We start from the raw sequence: 12,388 nt of genomic DNA on the forward strand, positions 1-12,388 counted from the left end.
GGAGGCCTAGGTGGGTAGATCATGAGGTCAGGAGTTCGAGACTAACCTGACCAACATGGTGAAAACCCATCTCTACTAAAAATACAAAAATTAGCTGGGGGTTGTGGCACGCACCTGTAATCACAGCTATTCGGGAGACTGAGGCAAGAGAATCGCTTGAACCCAGGAGGCAGAGGTTGCAGTGAGCCGAGATCACACCACTGCACTCCAGCCTGGGTAACAGAGCGAGACTGTCTCAAAAAAAAAAAAAAAGTAAATAAATAAATAAATTGTATTTCTATACAGTAACAATTAGCAAGCTGAAAATGAAACTAAGAAAATTCATTTACAATATCGTTTACAAACACACACTTAGGAATAAATTTGACCAAAGTGCTAGACCTTTTTCTTATTTATTTATCTTTTGGTTCCTAAAGTATCCACACCAAACACAAAATAAAGCAAAATCTTTTTTTTTTTTTTTTTTTTTTTTTTGAGACGGAGTCTCACTCTTTTGCCCAGGCCGGACTGCAGTGGCGCTATCTTGGCTCACTGCAAGCTCCGCCACCCGGGTTCACACCATTCTCCTGCCTCAGCCTCCCGAGTAGCTGGGACTACAGGAGCCTGCCACCGCGCCTGGCTAATTTTTTGTATTTTTAGTAGAAACGGGGTTTCACCGTGTTAGCCAGGATGGTCTCGATCTCCTGACCTGGTGATCTGCCTGCCTGGGCCTCCCAAAGTGCTGGGATTACAGGCATGAGCCACCGTGCCCGGCCACAAAATCTTAATAGTAATAAATTAATTTTGCAAAGTTGGAGGATACAAGATCAACGTACAAAAATCAGTTGTTTATTTATTTTTTAAGAGACAAGACCGCTCCTCTCTCCGGTCCGTGCCTCCAAGATGACAAAGAAAAGAAGGAACAATGGTCGTGCCAAAAAGGGCCGCGGCCACGTGCAGCCTATTCGCTGCACTAACTGTGCCCGATGCGTGCCCAAGGACAAGGCCATTAAGAAATTCGTCATTCGAAACATAGTGGAGGCCGCAGCAGTCAGGGACATTTCTGAAGTGAGCGTCTTCGATGCCTATGTGCTTCCCAAACTGTATGTGAAGCTACATTACTGTGTGAGTTGTGCAATTCACAGCAAAGTAGTCAGGAATCGATCTCGTGAAGCCCGCAAGGACCGAACACCCCCACCCCGATTTAGACCTGCGGGTGCTGCCCCAGGTCCCCCACCAAAGCCCATGTAAGGAGCTGAGTTCTTAAAGACTGAAGACAGGCTATTCTCTGGAGAAAAATAAAATGGAAATTGTACTTAAAAAAAAAAAAAAAAAAGAGACAAGACCGCACTATGTTGCCGAGGCTAGAATGCAGTGATCATTTAAAGGCACAATTATAATGCACTATAGCCTCAAACATGGCCGCAAGCAATCCTCCTGACTCAGCCTCCCAAGTAGCTGGTACTACAGGTGGTGCACCACTACACCTGGCTCAGTTGAATTTCTATACACCAGAAATGAACAATCCAAAAATGAAATTAATAAAACAATTCCATTTGTAATGGCACCAAAAAAAAACTTAGGAATAAATTTAACCAAGGAAGTGCAAACTACAAAACATTATTGAAAGAAATTAAACTTAAATACATGAAAAGACATTGTGTGTTCATGGATTGAAAGACTTACTACTCTTCACATAGCAATGCTTCCCAAATTGATCTACAGACTCAACACAATCTCTATCAAAATCCCAACTACCTTTTTTGCAAAAATGGACAAGCTGATTCTAAAATTCACATTAAATTGTAAGGAACTTCAAATAGACAAAACAATCTTGAAAAATAAGAACAAAATTGGAAGACTCACGCTTCTTGATTCAAAATCTAATTCAAAGTACCAGTAGTTGAGCCCCTGGGCACTGGCATAAGGACTGACATATAGATCAATGGAATAGAATTGAAAGTCCAGAAATGAGTGCCCACATTACGATCAACTGATTTTTTTTCTTTTTTGAGACAGGGTCTCACTCTGTCACCCAGGCTGGAGTGCAGTGATCAAGGCTCACTGCAGCCTCCGTCTCCCGATCCCCCTGCCTCAGCCTCCTAAGTCACTGGGACCACAGGTATGTGCCACCACGCCCAGCTAATCTTTTTTTTTTTTTTTTTGAGACAGAGTTTCGTTCTTGTTGCCCAGGCTGGAGTGCAATGGCGCAATCTCGGCTCACCACAACCTCCGCCTTCTGGGTTCAAGCGATTCTTCTGCCTCAGCCTCCCTAGTAGCTGGGATTACAGGCATGAGTCACCACACCAGACTAATTTTGTATTTTTAGCAGAAATGGGGTTTCTCCATGTTGGTCAGGCTGGTCTCGAACTTCTGACCTCAGGTGATCCACCTGCATTGGCCTCCCAAAGTGCTGGGATTACAGGCGTGAGCCACCATGTCTGGCTTGCCCAGCTAATCTTTTTAATTATTATTTTTAGAAATGGAGTGTGCCTATATTGCCCAGGCCGGTTTTGAACTTCTGGGGCTCAAATGGTCTTCTTGCCTTGGCCTCCCAAAATACTGGGATTACAGGTGTGAACCATGGTGCCCAGCCAAGGTCAACTGATTTTTAACAAATATGCCAAGACAATTCAATGAGAGAAAGTGTAGGAAAAAAAGTCTTTTCAAACAATGGTCCTGGGACAACTGGATACCCACACACAATAGAATGAAGTTGAACCCTCACCTCATATTATCTATAAAAATTAACTCAAAATATAACAAAGCCTTTGTTTATAAAACATTTGTTAGACTGAAAAGTAGAAAACTCTTTTTTTTGTTTTTAGATGGAGTCTTGCTCTGTTGCTCTGTTGCCAGGCTGGAGTGCAGTGGCATGATCTCAGCTCACTGCAACCTCCACCTCCTGGGTTCAAGCCATTCTCCTGCCTCAGCCTCTGGAGTAGCTGGGACTACAGGTGCGTGCCACCACGCCCAACTAATTTTTTTTTTTTTTTTTTTTTTGAGACCGAGTTTTGCTCTTGTTGCCCAGGCTGGAGTGCAATGGCACGATCTTGGCTCACCGCAACCTCTGCCTCCTGGGTTCAAGCGATTCTCCTGCCTCAGCTCCCAAGTAGCTGAGATTACAGGCATGCGCCACCATGCCCCGCTAATTTTTTTGTATTTTTAGTAGAGACGGGGTTTCTGCATGTTGATCAGGCTGGCCTCGAACTCCCGACCACAGGTGATCCACCCACCTTGGCCTCCCAAAGTGCTGGGATTACAGGCATGAGCCACCGTGCCCAGCCCAGTTTTTTGTATTTTTTTAATAGAGACGGTGTTTCACCATGTTGGCCTTAGAGGAAAACATAGACATACATCTTTATGACCTTTGGATTAGCAAGTTTTCTTAGATATGACACAAGTGTTTAACACAGAGCTCCCATATGACCCAGTAATTCCATTCCTAGGTATATATGCAAGAGAAACGAAACAGAAAAACTTAAAACACACACACATATGGCGAAACCCTATCTCTACTAAAAATACAAAAATTTTGCTGGTGTAGTGGCTCATGCATGTAATCCCAGCACTTTGGCAGGCTGAAGAAGGTGGATCATTTGAGGTCAGGAGTTTGAGATCAGCCTGGACAACATGGTGAAACCCCATCTCTACTAAAAAATACAAAAATTAGCTGGGTGTGGTGGCACACGCTTGTAATCCCAGCTACTTGGGAGGCTGAGGCAGGAGAATCTCTTGAACCCAGGAGGTGGAGCTTGCAGTGAGCCGAGATCACACCACTGCACTCCATCCTGGGCAACAGAGACTCTATCTCAAAAAAAAAAAAAAAAAAAAAGAAAGAAAAATTAGCCGGGCATGGTGACAGGTGCCTATAATCCCAGCTACTTGGGAGATTGAGGTGGGAGGATCAGCTGAACCTGGGAAGCAGAGGTTGCAGCCAGCCAGGATTGTGCCACTGCACTCCAGCCTGGGCAACAGAGTGAGACTCCGTCTCAAAAAATAAAAATAAAAATAATACACACACACATATACACATACACCTCTTTATTTCTTCAGTGAGACCTGAAGATATATATCCATAACATAAGAACAGGATGCTATAAAAAATGAACAATAAGAAAGCAAGAAAAACTATCATAAATTAGAAATATGATAGCCAAGGCTGGGTGCAGTGGCTCACACCTGTAATCTCAGCACCTTGGGAGGCTGAGGCGTGTGGATCACTTGAGGCCAGGAGTTTGAGACCAACCTGGCCAATATGGTGAAACCCCGTCTCTACTGAAAATACAAAAATAAGCTGGGCATGGTGGCCCACGCCTGCAATCCCAGCTACTCAGGAGGCTGAGGCAGGAGAATCACTTGAACCCAGGAGGCGGAGGTTGCAGTGAGCTGAGATCAAGCCACCGCATTCCAACCTGGGTGACAGAGTGAGAACCTGTCTCAAAAAAAAATAAATAAATAAAAGCCAAAATTAAAAATTCAATACAAAATTTGAAGGTTGAAGAAATCTCCTAGAGTGTAGTATTTAAATTCTTTTTCTTTTGAGACAAGGTCTTGCTCTGTCTCCCAAGCTGCTGTGCCGTGGCGCCATTCTAGCTTACTGCAAGCCTCAAACTCCTGGCCTCAAGCAAGTCTCATATCTCAACCTCTCAAAGTGCTGGATTATAGGCATGAGCCACTGCAGCTGGCCAGAATGTAGAATTTAAAAGGTGTTGAAAAATATAAAAAATAAGAAAATTGGAGGATTGAGGCTGGTTGAAGGCAGAGGCAGGAGAATAGCTTGAGCCCAGGAGCTTGAGTATAGCCTGGGAAACACAGAAAGCCCATCTCTATATTAAAAAAAAAAATTCTTTTTTTTTTTTTTTTTTTTTTTTTAAGAGAGAGTCTTGCTCTGTCACCCAGGCTGGAGTGCAGTGGTGCGATCTTGGCTCACTGCAACCTCCACCTTCCGGGCTCAAGCAATTCTTATGCCTCAGCCTCCCATGTAGCTGAGATTATAGGTGTGTGCCACCACACCCGGCTAATTTTTGTATTTTTAGTAGAGACAGGGTGGGGGAGTGTTGGGGGAGATGGGGCATGGCAGGGAGGGGATGGCGGGTTTTACCATGTTGGCCAGGCTGGTCTTGAGCTCCTGGCTTCAGGTGATCCTCCCACCTCAGCCTCTAAAAGTGGGATTACAGACATAAGCCACTGCGCCCAGCATTTTTTTTTTTTTTTTAGACAGTGTTGCTGTGTTGCCCAGGCTGGAGTGCAGTGGCACAATCTCGGCTCACTGCAACGTCTGCCTCCTGGGCTCCAGCGATTGTCGTGCCTCAGCCCCCCAGTAGCTGGGATTACAGGTGCACACCATCATGCCTGGCTAACTGTATTTTTAGTAGAGATGGGGTTTCACCATGTTGGCCAGGCTGCTCTCAAACTCCTGGCTTCAAGCAATCCACCTGCCTCAGCCTCCCACAGTGCTGGGATTACAGGCCTGAGCCACTGCACCAAGCCCCAGCTCCAGATTGTGAGTTTCAGAGCCAGGCTAGATAGGATTCAGACTCAGAACTGTGAGATTTCTGCTGCTCAGGCTGTTAACCAGTGACTCATGGTTTTTTTTTTTTTAGGCAGAGTTTTACTCTTGTTGCCCAGGCTGGAGTGCGATGGCTCGATCCCAGCTCATTGCAACCTCCGCCTCCCAGGTTCAAGTGATTCTCCTGCCTCAGCCTCCCAAGTAGCTGGGATTACAGGTGCCCGCCACCATGCCCAGCTAATTTTTGAATTTTTAGTAGAGACGGGGTTTCACCATGTTGGCCAGGCTGGTCTCGAGCTCCTGACTTCGTGATCTGCCCACCTCGGCCTCCCAAAGTGCTGGAATTACAAGCGTGAGCCACCGCGCCCTGCCTGACTTGTGGTCTTTTGAGATTATTTCTGATGTCCCATAGACATTTCAAAAGCAAAATGTCAAAAGCTACACTTGCCTCTCAAACCTTCATTCTCTCTGTGTGATAGGCACCCTCCTTCCCATCTTCCTTCGCTTCCATGGGTCACTCAAAGCTGAAGACCTGCAAGCCATCTCAGGATCCTGTCCTGTATCCCATCAACACTCATCACACCCTCTCAATTCTGGCTCCTAAATACCCCTTGGATTTGGCCTCTCCTCCCCGTTCCCCACTGGCATTGTTTTATTTCAGGTCTTTATGATTTCTTGCCTGGGTTTCTGCAGCAGCCTCCTAACTGCTCTCCCTGACTCCAGTCTTGCCCTCTCTGTTTCATTTTTCATATTGCACACAGGGTGATTTTTCTAAAATGTAAATGTGACCACATCTCTTGCAGGCTTAAAACCTCTCAAAGGTTCTTCACCTCCTCAAGGCTGCAGCACACACCTCCCAGCACAGCTCTGCAAGTTGACCCCGCCCTTCTTCTCCATCGGTGGTTCTCAGAGTGTAGCCCTAAGAGCAGCAGCACTCTGACCCGCTCCATCAAGATCTCTAGGCTTGGAGCTTGCGAGACTATGTAAACAAGGCCAGTTTTTTGTTCGTTTGTTTGTTTTTTGGAGACAGAGTCTCGCTGTGTCACCCAGGCTGGAGTGCAGTGGCTTGATCTTGGCTTACTCCATCTCCACCTCCCAGGTTGAAGTGATTCTCCCGCCTCAACCTCCTGAGCAGCTGGGACTATAGGTGTGCACCACCACACCCAGCTAATTTTTGCATTTTTAGTAGAAATGGGGTTTCAGGCCGGGCGCGGTGGCTCACGCCTGTAATCCTAGCACTTTGGGAGGCCAAGGCGGACGGATCACGAGGTCAGGAGATCGAGACCATCCTGGCTAACATGGTGAAACCCCGTCTCTACTAAAAATACAAAAAATTTAGCCGGGCATGGTAGCGGGTGCCTGTAGTCCCAGCTACTCGGGAGGCTGAGGTAGGAGAATGGCGTGAACCCAGGAGGCGGAGCTTGCAGTGAGCCGAGATCACGCCACTGCACTCCAGCCTGGACGACAGCGAGACTCTGTCTCAAAAAAAAAAAAAAAAAAAAAAAAAAAAAGAAAGAAAAAGAAAAAAAAAAGAAATGGGGTTTCACCACATTGGCCAGGCTAGTTTCGAACTCCTGACCTCAAGCGATCCACCCGCCTTGACCTCCCAAAGTGCTTGGATTACCGGTGTGAGTCACTGTGCCCAGCCAACAAGGCCAGTTTTTATGCACATTTAAGTTTGAGAACCACATTGCAGTTAATCTCATCTGGTTTCCTTTCTTGAACTCCATGCTTTAGCCTCATTGAACCATCAGTTTCTGGAAAATGGTATATTATCCCTCACCTTCTATAATTTGCACATGCTATTCTCTGCCCTTATCCCATGGCAATGGCTTTGTCTGCTTTTATCCATATTCCCCACCTCTGTGGAAACTGGAAGGCAGGGTCACCACCTTATTCATCTTTACATCTTTAGGGTCTTGGACCTGACATACAGTAGGTGCTCAATAACTATTTTATTTCTCTCTCTCTCTCTTTTTTTTTTAGAGAAGGGGTCTCACTCTGTCACCTAGGCTGGAGTGCAGTGGCTCAATCATGGCTCACCTCCCCCTCAACCTCCTGGGCTCAAGCAATCCTCCTGCCTCAGCCTCCCAAGTAGCTGAGACTACAGGCACTCACCACCATGGCCAGCTAATTTTTAATTTTTTTGTAGAGATGGGGGTCTTGTTATGTTGCCCTGGCTGGTCTCCAAATATTGGCCTTAAGTGATCCTTCCACCTCAGCCTCCCAAAAGCGCCACTGCACTACAGCCTGGGCGACAGAGTAAGATTCCATCTCAAAAAATAAAAATAAAGATAATACACACACACATATACACATACACCTCTTTATTTCTTCAGCGAGACCTGAAGATATATATGCATAATATAAGAACAGGATGCTATAAAAAATGAACAATAAGAAAACAAGGAAAACTATTATAAATTAGAAATATGATAACCAAGGCTGGGTGCGGTGGCTCACGCCTGTAATCTATTACAGGCGTGAGCCAGTGAGCCTGGCCATTCAATAACTATTTTCTTAATGAACATTGAGGGTGAGATGAGCAGAAACGTAACTGCTAAAAGCAGGCAACATTCAGCTACCAGGATTTATGAGGGAGAACACAGTAAACTGTGCTATTACTTAGGAATACCTAGAGTCAATGTACATTTATTTTCATTTTACTCTAGCCCCACTGGTGATCTCTGCCCAGTAATCTAACTAAATTGATGACAGTGGGAATAAAAGGAAATCATAGATATGTATTATTGTAAAGGAAAAGAAATGCAAATGAATGGGTACAGGGACAGTCTATACAATTGAAGATCTCATCTCTTCATATATATATATATATTTTTTTTTCTTTTTTTTTTCAAGACAGGATCTTAGCACCTACTATTTGCAAGACTCCCCCTATGTTAACCTTTACAGCAACTCTCGGATGGATGTTTTATTATTGAGAGAACTGAGAGACAGAGGTCATTAAATATTTGTCCAAGATCCTACAGCTGCAACATGGTAAATCCACTGCTATTGGAACTTCCTGTTAAGTGAGTTCCATGGCCCCAAACTGCATTCCCACCCATGTTGCTCACAGATTGGTCACAATGTGGCTCACAGTCATAGGCACAGGTGAATGGAACAACCATTATTTTCGATAATGATTCTGGGGTATCATCTTTGACTCAAAAACGCAAACTGTTATTATTATCTATGCAGTCTACAGCCCTCTGCTCTACCAGCTGAGCTATCGAAGAGTGCACAAGCTGTTATTATATCACAAGATTTTTTTTTTCAGACAGGGTCTTATTCTGCGGCCCAGGCTGAAGTGAAGTGGCTCGATGGTAGCTCACTGCAGCCTTGAACTCCTGGGGTCAAGCGATCCTCCTACCTCAGCCTCCCAAGTAGCCGAAACTACAGGCAGGCACCACTATGCCTGGCTGACTTTTGTATTTTTTGTAGAGACGGGGTTTCGCCATGTTGCCAGGCTAATCTGCAACTCCTGGGCTCAAGCAGTCTGCCCACTTCACCCTCCCAAAGTGCTGGGATTTCAGGCTAGAGCCACCATGCCCAGCCCACAAGATCTAAACGCTACTGTTGAAGCAAAAAGACTTGAAGACAGAATTTGCCCTCCTAATATAAGCCCATGGTAACCTGAACCTCCTTCACCCTAACTCTCATCACAGTGTATTGTGATTACTTATTGAGGATGAAATTTGATTTTCCTTTTTGATGTACTTCTCCAACACAGTACCTGGTATGTGGAAGGCACTCAAACTAGGGCCAACCTGGTGCCAGCTAACCTGGGACTAGTGCAAGCTCCTGAAATTCACCTGGTCAAGGGACACATGTTCACAGGATCTCCTGGGGTTGTGTCACCAAAAAAAAAAAAAAAAAAATTTCACCTGGTGTCTCTAGTCACCATGATTTTCTCTAAAATGCCACACAGAATTCTATGTATGGAATTTTTTTCTTTTCTTTTTTCTTTTTCTTTCTTTTTTTTTTTTTTGAGACAGTCTGTCGCCAGTCTGGAGTGCAGTGGCGTGATCTCGGCTCACTGCAGTCTCCTCCTCCCGGGTTCAAGCGGTTCTCCTGCCTCAGCCTCCCGAGTAGCTAGGACTACAGGTCCGTGCCACCACGCCCAGCTAATTTTTGTATTTTTAGTGGAGATGGGGTTTCACCATGTTGGCAAGGATGGTCTAGATCTCTTGACCTTGTGATCTGCCCGCCTCAGCCTCCCAAAGTGCTGGGATTACAGGCGTGAGCCACCGCGCCCGGCCAAAATTTTTTAAAAATAAGGAAAGTTCAAGTTTACTTTAGATACCATAGTTCAGGATTTAAACTCCTGTCCTTACTTTGGAATGTCATTTTAGATACTTATGTGATTGACTGAGGAAAAAGACATTGTAACTGATCTTATCCCCTTTTAAAAAAAAAACCAGCTAACAATTATTCATTTAGTCTTCTGTACATTGTGTGAAATAAAATATAGAAGACTAGGGGACAGTTTCTGCCCTCAAGGAGCTTATGTGGTTTTTTTCGTGCGTTTTTTTGTTGTTGTTGTTTTTGTTTGTTTGTTTGTTTTTTGACATGTTCTTACACTGTCACCCAGGCTGAAATGCAGTGGTGAGATCTCGGCTGACTGCAACCTCTGCCTCCCAGGCTCAAGCGACCCTCACCTCAGTCTCCTGAGTAGCTGGGACTACAGGCATGCACCATCATGCCCAGCTAATTTTTGTGTGTGTGTTTTTGTAGAGACGAGGTCTCGCCCTGTTGCCCAGGCTGGTCTCGAACTCCTGGCTTCAAGTGATTCACCTGCCTCAGCCTCTCAAAGTGCTGCGATTACAGTCATGAGCCGCCTCACCCCGCCAGTCAGGCTCTTAAAAAATCCATCACACAGGCCGGGCGCCATGGCTCATGCCTGTAATCCCAGCACTTGGGAGGCCAAGTCGGGCGGATCACGAGGTCAGGAGATTGAGACCATCCTGGCTAACACGGTGAAACCCCGTATCTACTAAAAATAACAAAAAATTAGTCGGGCATGCTGGCGGACGCCTGTAGTCCCAGCTACTCAGGAGGCTGAGACAGGAGAATGGCGTGAACCCGGAAGGCGGAGCTTGCAGTGAGCTGAGATAGTGCCACTGCACTCCAGCCTGGGAGACAGAGCGAGACTGTGTCTCAAAAAAAAGAGAAAAGAAAAAAAATCCATCATATGTATTCACTAATTTAATCTTCACAACAACTCTAAAGGGTAGGAACTATTTTTTTTGCCCCATTTTACAGATATGAAATGAGAGGCTGTGTTGAAGGTGTTTTCTGGGGTTGATTTAAATAGAATTAATAAACTCAGAAAAAAGATTCTTAATCGATAAAGGTGGTTTTTTTTTTTTTTTTTTTTGGTTTTTTTTTTTTTTTTTTGAGTCGGAGTCTCACTCTGTCATCCAGGCTGGAGTGCAGTGGCGTGATATCGGCTCACTGGAACCTCTGACTCCCTGGTTCAAGCAATTCTCCTGCCTCAGCCTCCCGAGTAGCTGGGATTACAGGCATGCGCCACCATGCCCGTGGTTTCACCATGTTGGCCAGGATGGTCTTGATCTCCTGACCTTGTGATCCGCCCACCTTGGCCTCCCAAAATGCTGGGATTACAGGCGTGAGCCACCGTGCCCGGCCTTGGCTTTCATTCTTATTGTCCCATGGTTACCAGAGCCTAAAGAGGTAAAGAGGTAAGACCTATGAGGCTCTCACAGTTTTTTTTTTTTTTTTTTTTTTTTGAAACAGGGTCTCGCTCTGTCGCCCAGGCTGGAGTGCAGTGGCGCGATCTTGGCTCACTGCAGCCTCCGCCTCCCGGTTCAAGCAATTCTCCCACCTCAGCCTTTCCAGTAGCTGGGATTACAGAGGCGCGCCACCACGCTTGGCTAATTTTTTTTTTGCATTTCTATTAGAGATCGGGTTTCACCATGCTGCGCAGGCTGGTCTCGAACTCCTGACCTCAGGTGATCCACCCACCTTGGCCTCCCAAAGTGCTGGGATTACAGGTGTGAGCCACCGTGCCCGGCCTCTCTCATAGTTTTATTATTCTATTTTCCACAGACCCTTCCTCCCTTAATTTTCATGCCTCTTTAATATTGTTTCTTTTACCTCACTGACATTCTTTTTCGTCCTCCTACCTTTTACTGTGGGTGTCTTATTACCCTTCTTTGGGAGTTTATCCTTTAGCATGTCATAGATCACTATCTTTAGGCAGAGGACCCTGCATCTTCTCTAGTCCTGATTGTCTACCCTTTCTCAAGTTCCATAACTTCAGTTGCCTCTGGGACACCTTCACTGGGTTTTACAAAACCCTGTTACCGGGAACTGAACATATTAAAAGCTAAGATTCCTCCCCAAATCTGCATGTTGCGCCAATTTTCCTGCCCAATTATCTTGTCTGTCCCCTGGTTTTGCGACCTTATTTAAACATTTAAATCCTTTTCTTTAAATTGGAATCTTGATGAGTGGTGCAAAAATCAATGGATACAAATGATATGCCGAGATATGTAAGTCTTCCGCCCACTGGTTCCCTAGGCACTCAGTTCCTCTCCCAGGAGGTAACCACTGTTGCCAGCTCTTAGAGTGATTTTTGATTCCTTCTTCTACCGGCTCTATCTCAAGTCCTTCCCTGTCTGTGAGATGTGTGCCCTTTCCTTTCCAGGCCCTAGTGAACTGATATCTGGTTGAGTTTATATATAAACATTTATATGTGTATATTTTATATACATATATAACATCTCTCCCTATGGCCTTCCGGCCTGGAGTTTTCATCACGTCGCTTCCTGGATGAAAGAATCTCGAGGGGTGAGGGGCAGGGGTTGGGGGTGATGGAGAAGAGAACCTAAAGGGGACTTAGGTAGGGGGTTCAGAGTTGCCAACTGGCGT

At 45.4% G+C, this 12,388-nt stretch overlaps 1 pseudogene, besides 1 other annotated feature; it reads left to right on the forward strand.

Annotated features, from left to right (window-relative positions):
- On the forward strand, positions 852 to 1,299 carry RPS26P8 (ribosomal protein S26 pseudogene 8; annotated as a pseudogene).
- Positions 10,795 to 11,774: an enhancer, noted in NCBI's record as "H3K4me1 hESC enhancer chr17:43695849-43696828 (GRCh37/hg19 assembly coordinates)". NCBI's record gives its function as "activates a minimal SCP1, AML or CMV promoter by ChIP-STARR-seq in primed H9 embryonic stem cells {active_cell/tissue: H9 hESC(primed)}" and the evidence as "EXISTENCE:reporter gene assay evidence [ECO:0000049][PMID:30033119]".

The sequence above is a fragment of the Homo sapiens genome, chromosome 17, assembly GCF_000001405.40.
Source record: "Homo sapiens chromosome 17, GRCh38.p14 Primary Assembly".
Classification (NCBI taxonomy): Eukaryota; Metazoa; Chordata; class Mammalia; order Primates; family Hominidae; genus Homo; species Homo sapiens.